Source organism: Homo sapiens, chromosome X (genome assembly GCF_000001405.40).
Source record: "Homo sapiens chromosome X, GRCh38.p14 Primary Assembly".
Classification (NCBI taxonomy): Eukaryota; Metazoa; Chordata; class Mammalia; order Primates; family Hominidae; genus Homo; species Homo sapiens.
Genome location: NC_000023.11, coordinates 14798206 through 14814881, shown reverse-complemented (window position 1 = coordinate 14814881; position 16676 = coordinate 14798206). Strand labels below are relative to the sequence as shown.

Here is a 16676-nt window from a genome sequence, read left to right as displayed (position 1 = left end):
AATAATCATATGTGTGCATGTGTCTTTATAGTAGCATGATTTATAATCCTTTGGGTATATACCCAGTAATGGGATGGCTGGGTCAAATGGTATTTCTAGTTCTAGATCCCTGAGGAATCGCCACACTGTCTTCCACAATGGTTGAACTAGTTTACGTTCCCACCAACAGTGTAAAAGCATTCATATTTCTCCACATCCTCTCCAGCACCTTTGTTTCCTGATTTTTTAATGATTGCCATTCTAACTGGTGTGAGATGGTATCTCATTGTGGTTTTGATTTGCATTTCTCTGATGACCAGTGATGATGAGCATTTTTTCATGTGTCTGTTGGCTGCATAAATGTCTTCTTTTGAAAAGTGTCTGTTCATATCCTTTGCCCACTTTTTGATGGGGTTGTTTGATTTTTTCTTGTAAATTTGTTTCTTTGTAGATTCTGGATATTAGCCCTTTGTTAGATGAGTAGATTGCAGAAATTTTCTCCCATTCTGTAGGTTGCCTGTTCACTCTGATGGTAGTTTCTTTTGCTGTGCAGAAGCTCTTTAGTTTAATTAGATCCCATTTGTCAATTTTGGCTTTTGTTGTCATTGCTTTTGGTGTTTTAGTCATGAAGTCCTTGCCCATGCCTGTGTCCTGAATGGTATTGCCTAGGTTTTCTTCTAGGGTTTTTATGGTTTTAGGTCTAACATTTAAGTCTTTAATCCATCTTGAATTAATTTTTGTATAAGGTGTAAGGAAGGGATCCAGTTTCAGCTTTCTACATATGGCTAGCCAGTTTTCCCAGCACCATTTATTAAATAGGGAATCTTTTCCCCATTTCTTGTTTTTGTCAGATTTGTCAAAATCAGATGGTTGTAGATGTGTGATGTTATTTCTGAGGCTTCTGTTCTGTTCCATTGGTCTATATCTCTGTTTTGGTACCAGTACCATGCTGTTTTGGTTACTGTAGCCTTGTGGTATAGTTTGAAGTCAGGTAGCATGATGCCTCCAGCTTTGTTCTTTTGGCTTAGGATTGTCTTGGCAATGCAGGCTCTTTTTTGGTTCCATATGAACTTTAAAGTAGTTTTTTCCAATTCTGTGAAGAAAGGCATTGGTAGCTTGATGGGGATGGCATTGAATCTATAAATTACCTTGGGCAGTATGGCCATTTTCAGGATATTGATTCTTCCTATCCATGAGCATGGAATGTTCTTCCATTTTTTTGTGTCCTCTTTTATTTCGTTGAGTAGTGGTTTGTAGCTCTCCTTGAAGAGGTCCTTCCCATCCCTTGTAAGTTGGATTCCTAAGTGTTTTATTCTCTTTGTAGCAACTGTGAATGGGGGAGTTCACTCATGATTTGGCTTTCTGTTTGTCTGTTATTGGTGTATAGTGTATAGGAATGCTTGTGATTTTTGTACATTGATTTTGTATCCTGAGACTTTGCTGAAGCTGCCTATCAGCTTAAGGAGATTTTGGGCTGAGACGATGGGGTTTTCTAGATATACAATCATGTCATCTGCAAATAGGGACAATTTGACTTCCTCTTTTCCTAATTGAATACCCTTTATTTCCTTCTCCTGCCTAATTGCCCTGGCCAGAACTTCCAACACTATGTTGAATAGGAGTGGTGAGAGAGGGCATCCCTGTCTTGTGCCAGTTTTCAAAGGGAATGCTTCCAGTTTTTGCCCATTCAGTATGATATTGGCTGTTGGTTTGTCATAGATAGCTCTTATTATTTTGAGATACATCCCATCAATACCCAATTTATTGAGAGTTTTTAGCATGAAGGGTTGTTGAATTTTGTCAAAGGCCTTTTCTGCATCTATTGAGATAATCATGTGGTTTTTGTCTTTGGTTCTGTTTATATGCTGGATTACATTTATTGATTTGCGTATATTGAACCAGCCTTGCATCCCAGGGATGAAGCCCACTTGATCATGGTGGATAAGCTTTTTGATGTGCTGCTGGATTCGGTTTGCCAGTATTTTATTGAGGATTTTTGCATCAATGTTCATCAAGGATATTGGTCTAAAATTCTCTTTTTTGGTTGTATCTCTGCCCGGCTTTGGTATCAGGATGATGCTGGCCTCATAAAATGAGTGAGGGAGGATTCCCTCTTTTTCTGTTGATTGGAATAGTTTCAGAAGGAATGGTACCAGTTCCTCCTTGTACCTCTGGTAGAATTCGGCAGTGAATCCTTCTGGTCCTGGACTCTTTTTGGTTGGTAAGCTATTGATTATTGCCACAATTTCAGAGCCTGTTATTGGTCTATTCAGAGACTCAACTTCTTCCTGGTTTAGTCTTGGGAGGGTCTATGTGTCAAGGAATTTATCCATTTCTTCTAGATTTTCTAGTTTATTTGTGTAGAGGTGTTTGTAGTATTCTCTGATGGTAGTTTGTATTTCTGTGGGATCAGTGGTGATATCCCCTTTATCATTTTTTATTGCATCTATTTGATTCTTCTCTCTTTTCTTCTTTATTAGTCTTGCTAGCAGTCTATCAATTTTGTTGATCCTTTCAAAAAACCAGCTCCTGGATTCATTGATTTTTTGAAGGGTTTTTTGTGTCTCTATTTCCTTCAGTTCTGCTCTGATTTTAGTTATTTCTTGCCTTCTGCTAGCTTTTGAATGTGTTTGCTCTTGCTTTTCTAGTTCTTTTACTTTTGATGTTAGGGTGTCAATTTTGGATCTTTCCTGCTTTCTCTTGTGGGCATTTAGTGCTATAAATTTCCCTCTACACACTGCTTTGAATGTGTCCCAGAGATTCTGGTATGTTGTGTCTTTGTTCTCGTTGGTTTCAAAGAACATCTTTATTTCTGCCTTCATTTTGTTATGTACCCAGTAGTCATTCAGGAGCAGGTTGTTCAGTTTCCATGTAGTTGAGCGGTTTGGAATGAGTTTCTTAATCCTGAGTTCTAGTTTGATTGCACTGTGGTCTAAGAGACAGTTTGTTATAATTTCTGTTCTTTTACATTTTCTGAGGAGAGCTTTACTTCCAACTATGTGGTCAATTTTGGAATAGGTAAGGTGTGGTGCTGAAAAGAATGTATATTCTGTTGATTTGGGGTGGAGAGTTCCGTAGATGTCTATTAGGTCCGCTTGGTGCAGAGCTGAGTTCAATTCCTGGGTATCCTTGTTAACTTTCTGTCTCGTTGATCTGTCTAATGTTGACAGTGAAGTCTTAAAGTGTCCCATTATTATATGGGAGTCTAAGTCTCTTTGTAGGTCACTCAGGACTTCCTTTATGAATCTGGGTGCTCCTGTATTGGGTGTATACATATTTAGGATAGTCAGCTCTTCTTGTTGAATTGATCCCTTTACCATTATGTAATGGCCTTCTTTGTCTCTTTTGATCTTTGTTGGTTTAAAGTCTGTTTTATCCGAGACTAGGATTGCAACCCCTGCCTTTTTTTGTTTTCCATTGGCTTGGTAGATCTTCCTCCATCCTTTTATTTTGAGCCTATGTGTGTCTCTGCACGTGAGATGGGTTTCCTGAATACAGCACACTGATGGGTCTTGACTCTTTATCCAGTTTGCCAGTCTGTGTCTTTTAATTGGAGCATTTAGTGCATTTACATTTAAAGTTAATATTGTTATGTGTGAATTTGATCCTGTCATTATGATGTTAGCTGGTTATTTTGCTTGTTAGTTGATGCAGTTTCTTCCTAGCCTCGATGGTCTTTACAATTTGGCATGATTTTGCAGTGGCTGGTACCGGTTGTTCCTTTCCATGTTTAGTGCTTCCTTCAGGAGCTCTTTTAGGGCAGGCCTGGTGGTGACAAAATCTCTCAGCATTTGCTTGTCTGTAAAGTATTTTATTTCTCCTTCACTTATGAAGCTTACTTTGGCTGGATATGAAATTCTGGGTTGAAAATTCTTTTCTTTAAGAATGTTGAATATTGGCCCCCACTTTCTTCTGGCTTGTAGAGTTTCTGCCGAGAGATCCGCTGTTAGTCTGATGGGCTTCCCTTTGTGGGTGACCCAACCTTTGTCTCTGGCTGCCCTTAACATTTTTTCCTTCATTTCAATTTTGGTGAATCTGACAATTATGTGTCTTGGAGTTGCTCTTCTTGAGGAGTATCTTTGTGGTGTTCTCTGTATTTCCTGAATCTGAATGTTGGTCTGCCTTGCTAGATTGGGGAAGTTCTCCTGGATAATATCCTGTAGAGTGTTTTCCAACTTGGTTCCATTCTCCCTGTCACTTTCAGGTACACCAATCAGACGTAGATTTGGTCTTTTCACATAGTCCCATATTTCTTGGAGGCTTTGTTCGTTTCTTTTTATTCTTTTTTCTCTAAACTTCCCTTCTCGCTTCATTTCATTCATTTCATCTTCCATCACTGATACCCTTTCTTCCAGTTGATCGTGTCAGGTCCTGAGGCTTCTGCTTTCTTCGCGTAGTTCTCGAGCCTTGGCTTTCAGCTCCATCAGCTCCTTTAAGCACTTCTCTGTATTGGTTATTCTAGCTATACATTCGTCTAAATTTTTTTCAAAGTTTTTAACTTCTTTGCCTTTGGTTTGAATTTCCTCCTGTAGCTCAGAGTAGTTTGATCGTCTGAAGCCTTCTTCTCTCAACTCGTCAAAGTCATTCTCCATCCAGCTTTGTTCCGTTGCTGGTGAGGAACTGCGTTCCTTTGGAGGAGGAGAGGCGCTCTGCTTTTTAGAGTTTCCAGTTTTCCTGCTCTGTTTTTTCCCCATCTTTGTGGTTTTATCTACTTTTGGTCTTTGATGATGGTGATGTACAGATGGGTTTTTGGTGGGGATGCCCTTTCTGTTTGTTAGTTTTCCTTCTAACAGACAGGACCCTCAGCTGCACGTCTGTTGGAGTTTGCTAGAGGTCCACTCCAGACCCTGTTTGCCTGGGTATCAGCAGCGGTGGCTGCAGAACCACGAATGCTGCTGTCTGATCGTTTCTCTGGAATTTTTGTCTCAGAGGGGTACCCGGCCGTGTGAGGTGTCAGTCTGCCCCTACTGGGGGGTGCCTCCCATTTAGGCTGCTTGGGGGTCAGGGGTCAGTGACCCACTTGAGGAGGCAGTCTGCCCGTTCTCAGATCTCCAGCTGCGTGCTGGGAGAACCACTGCTCTCTTCAAAGCTGTCAGACAGGGACATTTAAGTCTGCAGGGGTTACTGCTGTCTTTTTGTTTGTCTGTGCCCTGCCCCCAGAGGTGGAGCCTGCAGAGGCAGGCAGGCCTCCTTGAGCTGTGGTGGGCTCCACCCAGTTCGAGCTTCCCAGCTGCTTTGTTTACCTAAGCAAGCCTGGGCAATGGCGGGCGCCCCTTCCCCAGCCTGCCTGCCGCCTTGCAGTTTGGTCTCAGACTGCTGTGCTAGCATTCAGCGAGACTCCGTGGGCGTAGGACCCTCCGAGACAGGTGCAGGATATAATCTCCTGGTGCGCCGTTTTTTAAGCCCGTTGGAAAAGCACAGTATTAGGGTGGGAGTGACCCGATTTTCCAGGTGCCATCTGTCACCCCTTTCTTTGACTCGGAAAGGGAACTCCCTGACCCCTTGCGCTGCCCGAGTGAGGCAATGCCTCGCCCTGCTTCAGCTCGCACACAGTGCGCTGCACCCACTGTCCTGCACCCACTGTCTGGCACTCCCTAGTGAGATGAACCCCGTACCTCAGATGGAAATGCAGAAATCACCCATCTTCTGTGTCGCTCACGCTGGGAGCTGTAGACCGGAGCTGTTCCTATTCGGCCATCTTGGCTGCTAGCTCCCTCATATTGTTTTTTCTATTTCTTTGAAGAATGTTGTTGGTATTGATAGGGCTTGCATTGAATCTATAGATTGCTATGGGTAGTATGGATACTTTAACAATATTAATTCTTCCAACCCATGAACATGGAATATTTTTCCATTTTTTGGTGTCCTCTTCAATTTATTTCTTCAGTGTTTTATAGTTTTCATTTCTTTGGTTAACTCCTAGGTATTTAATTTTATTTGTAGCTATTGTAAATGGGATTACTTTATTTCTTTTTCAGATTGTTCACTGTTGGCATATAGAAATGCTACCGATTTTTGTTGATTTTGTATCCTGCTACTTTACTGAATTTGTTTATCACTTCTAATAGTTTTCTGGTGGAGTCTTTAGGTATTTCCAAATGTAAGATCATATCATCAGCAAACAAGGATAATTTGACTTCTTCCTTTCTAATGTAGATGCCCTTTGTTTCTTTATCTTGTCTGATTGCTCTAGCCAGGATTTCCAGTACTATGTTGAATTAGAATGGTGAAAGTGGACATCCTTGTCATGTTACACATCTTAGAGGAAAGGCTTTCAGTTTTTCCCCATTCAGTATGATACTAGCTGTGGGTCTGTCAAATATGGCTTTTATTATGTTGAGGTGTGTTCCTTCTATACCCAGTTTTTTAAGGAGTTTTATCACGACAGGATGTTGAATTTTATCAAATGCTTTTTTAGCATCAATTGAAATGATCCTATGGTTTTTATTCTTCATTCTGTTGATATGATGTATCACATTGATTGATCTGCATATGCTGAACCATCCTAGCATCCCAGAGATAAATCCCACTTGGTCATCACGAATGATTTTTTTTAATGTACTGTTGAATTTGGTTTGTTAGTATTTTGTTGAGGATTTTTGCATCAATATTTATTAACAATATTGGCCTGCAGTTTTCTTTCTTGATGTGTCTTTTTCTGGTTTTGGTATCAGGGTGATACTGGCCTTGCAGAAAGAGTTTGGAAGTATTCCCTCCTCCTCTCTTTTTTGGAAAAGTTCTAGTAGGATTGATTAGCTCTCCTTTAAATGTTTGGTAGAACTTAGCAGTGAAGCCACTGGGTCTTGGGCTTTCTTTACTGGGAGACTTTTTATTACAGCTTTGATATTGTTACTTTATTGATCTGTTCAAGTTTTGGATTTCTTCCTGGTTCCATCTTGGTAGGTTGTATGTGTCTAGGAATTTGTTCATTTTTTCCAGATTTTCTTCTTTTTGTTTTTGGCATATGGTTGCTCATAGTAGCCATTAATGATCCTTTGAATTTCTGTACTATCAGTTGTAATGTATCCTTTTTCATTTCGGATTTTATTTATTTGTATGTTGTCTCTTTTTTTTCTTAGACTGGCTAAAGGTTTCTCAATTTTATTTAACTTTTCAAAAAACCAACTTTTTGATTCATTGATCTTTTATTTTGTTTTCTTCATTTGTACAGGCTTTGTTACAGTTAGTATAGTCATGTAACCACAGTGTGAGTTGCAGATTAATGTGTTTAAAAAGCAACTCATGATGGGAGTGTGTGTTGATATGGAAAAGCCATAGAATCTAAGCATCATGGAGAGTAATAGTCCTGCCTAGTCTCCCACATCTACTGAAGACATTGTATGAGTAATAAATAATCTTTTTATGCTGCACCACTGAGAACTTTGGGGTTATAACTGCAGCATATCCTAACTTATCGTAATACATCAAAATTAATTAGCAACTCTTCAGGAATCCTTGAACTCCCAAATTTCAGAGATATAGCTTCTGCTTTAGCAATCATGATATATTATCTCTCATACATATTCCTTCACACTGCTTTCTTAAACTCTGTTTAGCATAGAAGTCCAAGAGAAATGTTAGCCTCCATAAAACTCTGGTGACTCTGCAGTAAGTACCAAATGTTCTCACATATAGTTGTTGGGGCTGTGTGTGAAAGAATTTTTTTTAGGCTTTGGAAATACACTTTATGTCTGAAATGATTTCTGTTGGCATTAAAATATGTCCTGAATTGTGACATCTCAAGCTTGATGACTTTTACCTGCCTATTATATAAATTCTATTATGTAAGATATAATGGAAATTTGATTTAGTTTCCTGAATTTCTAGCTTAGAGTTTGTGAAAATTCTAGGACAATGATAATAAACCTCTCCCTTTTCTTCCACACACTTCCCTCTCTCTCTTTCTCCTAGTTTGAATCAAACCATGTCATTATTTATCTGAGCCATTGGAAACAATATACCTTTTTTGTAAATTAAGGATCTGGAAAATAAATTCCAGTTTTTAAATAATCATTAGTCATCTTGTGAAGTTAATTCTTTTCTCAAGTCTGACATGATTTTACCAATACTTTTCAATAAGTATATCCATTTTAATTTATATTTTGTGTATTTATCATTGTATATTCACTTTTTCAGAAGTATTTATTTACTTCATAGCAATTCTGTGACTTTCTTATATGGGCTATAACTATAACTGGAAATTCCTAATTTTTTAAGCCTTACAGGAATTGAGTCTCCTTTTCCTCTGTTGTTAAATAAACTTCCCTGAGACACAATCCCTCAGGTTGTAGAAAATCTAACACCCTGGCTAACATGTCTGTTTAGCTGTGTGCATCTCACTTTCCTGTGGTCAGTCTACACTGTGGCCTGCTTCCCTGTCACCCCTTAGATGATGGTGGCTACTGTCTTCTCCCTACAACAGCTCTGCTCTTGGTACACCTGCATCACCTCTGACTTGGACACTACTCTGCACAAACACAAAGTGCCATTGGAACAGATTTTTATAGAAGGTTTAGGAGTAATAGAGAGGCTCACAACTCAGAACAGTGAAGACGAGCCATGTAAAATGGAATCAAAGGCACTCGAGTTCTCTAGAATCTTTTGGCCATCCTCATCCCTGAGAAATTCTCAATGCATGTCTCTCTTCTCAGGCCACAGCATCTCATCATAGTACTGGGCTCTCTTTCATTTTCACACTTGTCTCACTTATCCTCTTCCCTCCTTTCTCAGGGTCCTCACTCCCTCTCTATCAAACTTTTCTCACTTCCCTCCTTTGAAACTCATAATTCTCCTTACTCTTACTTGTATGTACTACAATTTGCCTAACCCAGTCTTTAACTCATTCTACTCTGGGTATATACCCTTTGGAAACATGTGTTTTCAGATTAGCATTTTCTGTAACACAATCACATTGTTAGACATGGGACTCCTACTCACCAATGTTTAGAACAAGGGGAAGCAATATAAAGTATCAAGGCATTCGAGAAGGATAAGAAGGACTAGACATCCTTGTGGGCAGGAGTAGCTTGTGAGTACAGGAATGTTGTTGAGCTGCAGTGAATGGGATTAGAGCAGTCAGAACGGGCCATGTAATGGATGATCTTGGTAAGTATCTTGTGGGCAGAAGGAAGTTGTTGAAAGATGGAAGATGCAGAACATCGTGCTCAAAACTGCATTCTAGAAAGATCACTCTAACCACAGTCAGAGGGGCAGAATGGAGTCTGGGAGAATAGTTATAAGACTTTTAGTCCAGAAGGAAATACAAAATGCCTGTGCTGAGGCAGAGCTGGGTCATCCCTAATGGGTTTGAGAGTTCTTCAGAAGGTGGGATTGATGGGGGTTGGCAGCCAGATGGACCAATAAGTCAGCGAGAGAATGAAGCTGGCTTGAGCAGTTTAGCGGGGGTGATGGTGTGTTCTCCATGATAAGGGAGCAAGGAATCAGGAACAGTTTGTGGTGGAGGTGGAGAGGCCCATGGATTCAGTTATTCCTGTGGTTAGTTTGAGGTGCCAGTGTGACACTATCTTAAATATATTGAGTAGCAAGCTGTGGACCCTCAGACACTGGCACCCACAGCTTTAACACACTTGGTTTTGAATGTTCTTGAGGTTCATGACATCACTAAAGCACAAACATGAATCAAGAGGTAAAATATTGGTGTTTAGGAGTGATCATGTAGCCTGCGAGTGAGACTCATGCACCCACTTTTTTGGAGATCAGGAGAAGTCAGGAATGGTGGGCTCAGGGAGAAGTGGTGGTGTCTAGTAGCATGAGAAGGAGGAGATGATAAATACAATTGAGGCATGTGGAGTTTGAGGCGACAGAGTGACGTACAGGGGACATATCCAAAAGCCACTGAAAAATCAGGACTGGAGCTTGGGTGGTATCAGGACTGGAGGTGTAGATTAGGGAAACGTAAGTTTAGTTCATTTGCCAAACTACAGCCTTTGATTTCTTAGTTCTGTTAAGTGGTAGAGCTGAGAAGCAGGCCTTAGCTTATGGAATTTGCTGTATTTGTACAAGGCAGCCTGTGAAAATTGGCAGAGGCAGGTTAGGTCTTTAAGAATCTACGAAGGGATTCAGGTAATAAATTTGGAAGAGGATGAAATATAATCCATATCAGCAGAATTATATCTTTATTATGTCTATCTGCTATGGGTAGAAAACAAGCATGGCATTTGAAGGTAGAAGATGTACTAAGTTTTCACTTCTGTCACTTTAATTTTCCTCATTTTTTTTAACTTTTTTATTTTTATTTTTATTTTTTTATTATACTTTAAGTTTTAGGGTACATGTGCACAACGTGCAGGTTAGTTACATATGTATACATGTGCCATGTTGGTGTGCTGCACCCAGTAACTCATCATTTAACATTAGGTATATCTCCAAATGCTATCCCTCCCCGCTCCCCTCACCCCACAACAGGCCCTGGTGTGTGATGTTCCCCTTCCTGTGTCCATGTGTTCTCATTGTTCAATTCCCACCTATGAGTGAGAACATGCGGTGTTTGGTTTTCTGTCCTTGCGATAGTTTGCTGAGAATGATGGTTTCCAGCTTCCTCCTTGTCCCTACAAAGGACATGAACTCATCCTTTTTTATGGCTGCATAGTATTCCATGGTGTATATGTGCCACATTTTCTTAATCCAGTCTATCATTGTTGGACATTTGGCTTGGTTCCAAGTCTTTGCTATTGTGAATAGTGCCGCAATAAACATATGTGTGCATGTGTCTTTATAGCAGCATGATTTATAGTCCTTTGGGTATATACCCAGTAATGGGATGGCTGGGTCAAATAGTATTTCTAGTTCTAGATCCTTGAGGAATCGCCACACTGTCTTCCACAATGGTTGAACTAGTTTACAGTCCCACCAACAGTGTAAAAGTGTTCCTATTTCTCCACATCCTCTCCAGCACCTATTGTTTCCTGACTTTTTAATGATTGCCATTCTAACTGGTGTGAGATGGTATCTCATTGTGGTTTTGATTTGCATTTCTCTGGTGGCCAGTGATGATGAGCATTTTTTCATGTGTCTGTTGGCTGCATAGATGTCTTCTTTTGAGAAGTGTCTGTTCATATCCTTTGCCCACTTTTTGATGGGGTTGTGTGTTTTTTTCTTGTAAATTTGTTGGTAATTTTCCTCATTTTAACGTTTCTGATGTCTACGTGATGCTCCTCCCCCAACCAGAAAAAGAAAGAAAGAAAGAAAAAAGTTGGCAGGAGTTTCTTCTCCTCCTTAATCTCCCTCCCCTTCCACACACAGACATACACACCCAAGGAGCTGTTATTAGGTAATTTCCCTTCAAAAGGCATTTCGAAATGTAATTTCTTCATTGGTGAAGAAACACATGGGGATCATTTAAAAATACTGAGTGGCAAAGGAATTCCTGAGTTTTTTTAAGATAATAGATTAAACTGAAGCCTTATTCTGCAATAGCATTTGCTGATGCCAAGTTTATGGCTGAAATCCAAGTAGCATCTCTGCTTTGCCCCAGCACAGTACATGCCTGTGGCTAATCAACATACAGGTCTTGAAATCCCTGGTTGATCTATACACCTTGTCCCTAGTAATAAAAATCATTCCCTTTGGGAGAACTTGAGCCTGGATTGTTCATAACCAGTTCTTTTTGTGTATACAAACTGGTTGGTTTCTTGGAGTTAGAGACAAATTTGTGAGATCAGGACCCTGGTTAACTCTTCTCCACCCATGCAAACATCTTGGCTCTCATAATGAAACTTGATTGTCATATACTGGAATGACAAGAATTTGTTCAAGTTTTAGCACTACCTAAGATCTGAAGATACCAGCATTTGTGCTCTAATTTTTTCAGAATGTCTTGTATTCCATGCATATTGACACTTTCTCTGTCTGAAATTCATTTCAAAAGAACATGGTAGAAATCATAGCCTGATGACTTTAAAGGAAAGAATTTATTGACTGAAGGCCTGTGCATTTCTTGGATTGTTTGATTGCACTTCAGCTTACAAAACAAAAGAAAGGGAATGCCAGATCCAAGTGTCCAACATCCTAATTCACCTGGACATCCTATAGGCACATTAATTCAATCTGGGCCAAACTGAACTCATCTGTCCTCATATGTTATTTCTCTTCCCATATTCCTGTCCACCACCCATCCAACCACTCAATCAAGAAGCATCGGGGGTTATCCAAGACTTTGGCTTCTTCACCAATTTTCAATTTTTAAAATTTTCATCTCTAAAAATCTCTTATTTTCATTCCTTCCTCTGCTTTCCCTGCACTTTCCTTAGGTCCCCACCATATCTCATCTGATCTGTGGCACTAATAGTGTCCCATTGAATTTTCCTGCCTCCAGTCAGCTTACCACCCCTGCTCCCAGCAATTGACTCAGCTGTCCTTAGAAAATGATCTTTCTATATTGCAAATCTGATTACTTTATTAGAAGTTTAGACCCCTCAGTGGTTTCCCATAACTACAGAATAATGTCTGAACTCTTTAATATAGCTTCCAAGGCTTTCCCTCTGTAATTTGGTCTCTGCCTTCCCTCTTTACCCATGGTCCACCATTCTGCTGTGTGACCCAACATTTCAGCTGCATCATATGATGCCATGCCATCCTATAATACACCAAGTTTTATGGAGTTGGCATTCATTTCATGTACCCTGCATATATATTTTTTTCTCTACCTGAAGTGCCCTTCCTCCCCCTTGTCTGACTGGCAAACTCCTAGTTGTCTTTTAAGAACATCTTATCCTTGGTAGCAGCCTACCTTGTTTTCCTTAACCCCACCCTCAACACCACTTAAAACATTGCCTCGAATGATATTATCTGTAATGTTTATCTTCACAATCCATCAGGGAGCACCATAAGGAGCCATGATTCATGTATCTTTAGTATCTAAACTTGCTACAGCAAAGGGAGGAAGATAAATCATGTGACCACAGTCCCAAGGTTTCAAGGAAATCATAAGGCTCTTAAAGGAGACTAAGTCACAGAGCGCTTCTTATTGTCCATTTTGCCCATTTGTTTATGTTTTCTCGGGACTAGAGTCTTTGAAATTCATTGTTTCTGGCAGTCCTCAGTCCTCATGGCCTGAGGACATGGTGTTAATAAGAATAAATAGAAGGGTGGCTACATGAACTGTATAAGGGGCCAGTGGTCATTTTTAAACTGAAGGGAATTTTGAGCTAATGATCATGCCCTAGAGCTATGTTTTTCAAACTTTGAAAAACACGATCCCCAGAAGGATATAGGATTTTGTCATGACCCAGTACACACACACACATGCACACACGGTAAAATCAATAAATGGAAAAAAGTTTATGAAACACTTTACTACATGACACACATTCTGATATTTTCTATTCCATTTAATCTATCCTATTCTATTTTGTTTTTTAAGAAAAATCTGTTTATAACCCATCAAATGATTTCACAACTCACCAATGGGTAATGACCTGTAGTTTGAGGAATCCTGTTGTCTAAGCGGCCTTCCTTTCACTCAGGTGCTTGGTTGTATGTGGCTGAAGATGGGCCACATCCCCAGAGGCCCTAACAAGAAACAACTGTTTGTGGGAGGAAGTGATTAATGGTTGGTGAGATCAGTATCAGCTGATGAATAGAATTCCTTGCATTTTAAAGACCTGAAAGAAGAGTGCAATGTAGCCAAATCCTGACTCTTCCAAGAGCTGAAAAAATTTGCCTGATTAACAGAACATGAACTCAGAGACTGGAACCATTGATGACCGTTAGGTCCCAGCTACTTAGGTCACAGGGATTTGGAAGCCCATGCCATGGCACCACCATTTGAGAATGCTTCCAGCAGCCACGCCCACGGTCAATCTAATCAATGTGGTGCTTCTGCTTCTGCTTCTGCTTCTGCTTCGGTAATTTCTACTGCTATGGTCGTTCACTGTGCATATCAAAATGACTGACAATTATCAGCTCAGCATGTAAACAAAGCCCAAGCAGAATTCAGATTACTTACTAATGAGCAGTGGTGTTTGTCAAAAGAACACTGTTGCTTATTTCATTGGATTTCACATACAAAAATATTGTATTTTTGCAATCATGCCAGAGGGGAAATGAGGAAATTGGAGATCAAGGAAGATGCAAACAGACCAAAATGACAAGTACTATAACTTTCAAAATATCTTAAGCCATGTTTTAAATGAAATCATGCAATTAAATTATTTAATTAATGTAGTCTAATGTTTATTAAAATGTTTATCTGCTGTTCCCCAAGCAGGTACAGAATACATGTGGGTTCCGTACAAGAGGAAACTTCAGCTAGTCAATATGTGTTTTTGATACCTCCTGTATTAGTTTCCTAGGGTTGCTGTAACAAAGTACCACAAACTGCGTGGTTTAAAACAATAGAAATTTAGTCTCTCGCCTTTCTGGAAGCTAGAAGTCTAAAGTCATGGTACTGGTAAAGCCATTCTCTCTCTCTCTCTCTGAAAGCTCTAGAGGATTTTTTCTTGTGTCTTCCTAACTTGTGGCGGTTGCTGGCAATTTTTGGCTTTCCTTAGCTTGTAGATGCATCATTCCAATCTCTGCCTCTGTCTTCACATGACATTCTGTGTGTTGCTGTATTCACATGGCATTCTCCTGTCTGTCCCTCTCAGTTTAACAGTGTTTCTACTGGTCTAAAATTTTCAACAGTTTGTCGGCCTTCCATGAAAGTCACAGGGTTCTGAGCCATTAGACATGAGTGTTCTTCATAGATCCTTCCTGTATACCTCTATCAATATCCGTGGCTGCTGCTGAGATGGTTGATTGGATCCATAATCTCTTTACCAAATGGTTGTCTAGTCACACCGTTGATGTTCTTTCCAGAGCATACTCTCTCACATTTTGCTGTTATCTGAATAGACTGAGGATTTTCCAGATCATCAAGTTCTGGTTCCTTTTTACATAACAATTCTCTCCTCAATTTATCTCTTTCTTCTAGAGTCTTGCTATAAGCAGCAAGGAGAAACTAGACAACACTTACCATACTTTGCTTGGAAATCTCCTCAGTTAGATATCCAAGTTCATTACTTACAAATTCTATTTCCCAAAAAACACTAGAATACAATTCAGCCACATTCTCTGCCACTTTATAATAAAGATCACCTTTCTTTCAGTGTCCAACAACATTTTCTGTCTGAGGTCTTATCAGAAGTACCTTTAACATTTATATTTCTACTAGTATTCTGTTCATGATGATACATGTATTCTGATTTGATAGAAGCTTTCTCTACTGTGCTCCTCACTTCCCTCTGAACCCTGTCACCTTTAACGTCTATATTACCATCAACCATCTCTTCAAGGCAATCTAGGCTTTTTCTATCAAGCTCTTCAAAATTCTTTCAGCTTCTACTCATTACTCAATTCCAAAGCCACTTCCACATTTTTAGATATTTGTTACAGCAGCACCTCACTTCCCAATACCAAGATCTGTATCAGTCAGGGTTTGCCAGCGAAACAGAACTAATAGAATACATACAGATCTGTATCTATACCTGTATATCTGTATATCTTAATGATACTGGTGGGCTAGAGGAGGTCCCCAAACACTGGTAGGACTTCAACCCTGGCCAGTGTCTGGGCCCTTGACAACTTTGCGAGAAGGAATTTAAAGATAAGTCAGAAAATAGTGAAAGTGTGGAGATTTTTTGCAAAGCAAAAGTACACACTCAAGAAAGGGGAGTGTGAGTACTCAAGAGAGTGAGTTGCACCAACAGTGTTTGGGGTTTCTATCTTTATGGGTTTCTTTAACCACGGGGTGGAATAATCATGAACATTTCTGGAAAAACATTAAGATTTCTCAGAACTGTGGTGCCACTCATTTTTGCACCAAATATGAATGTTCCTGGAACAGTCATGGTGCTGGCAGGTATGTGGTTTAGTATGTTAATGAGCATATAATGAGGTTCTGGGTGAAACCTAGGTCATTTCTAGTGCCATATTCGGTCCAGTCAGTCCAGCCAGCATGGTCCACATCCTGTTTTTTAGGATCTTATTGGCCCTTAGCTTATGCAGCAATTTCACCAGTTTCCTTTTTGTCATGTGAAACTGCTGCCTGGAATTTTCTATTCTCTTAATCATATCTACAAAATACCTTTACATCAGTATCTAAATTGGTGTTTGATTAAATAACTGGTTACTATAGCCTAGCCAAGTTGACAAGAAAACCCTAACCGTCACACTCCCAAAGTCAGACTTGATCACGTTCTGTCATGAATTATCAAGCATCTGATCCTTTATAGGCTCAAAATATTCATGATTTATGCTTTTATTTATAAGTTTTTGACTTCATACTTAGCCAGAAGTCTCTTGTATTTGTTTTATTTTATATCTTTGTTTTAGACTACATATGATTTTGAAAATGCAGTGTATTAAATACTCTCCTTTTGGGTATCATACCTCTCTGTAAAACATATTGCTTATTTCTTTGTGTTAAGAAAAGCATTTTGAAGGCTGGGCACGGTGGCTCACGCCTGTAATCCCAGCACTTTGGGAGGCCGAGGCGGGTGGATCACGATGTCAGGAGATCGAGATCATCCTGGCTAACACGGTGAAACCCCGTCTCTACTAAAAATACAAAAAATTAGCCAGGTGTGGTGGCAGGTGCCTGTAGTCCCAGCTACTTGGGAGGCTGAGGCAAGAGAATGGCGTGAACCTGGGAGGCGGAGCTTGCAGTGAGCCAAGATTGCGCCACCAAGATCACGCCA

The 16676-nt window shown here is 39.9% G+C and overlaps 1 protein-coding gene across 5 annotated transcripts in view; it reads left to right on the top strand.

The window, feature by feature from the left end:
• The window catches only part of FANCB (FA complementation group B), a 183546-nt gene that overhangs the window by 58188 nt on the left and 108682 nt on the right, over nt 1–16676 (top strand). The gene's annotated exons all lie outside the window — the stretch shown is intronic.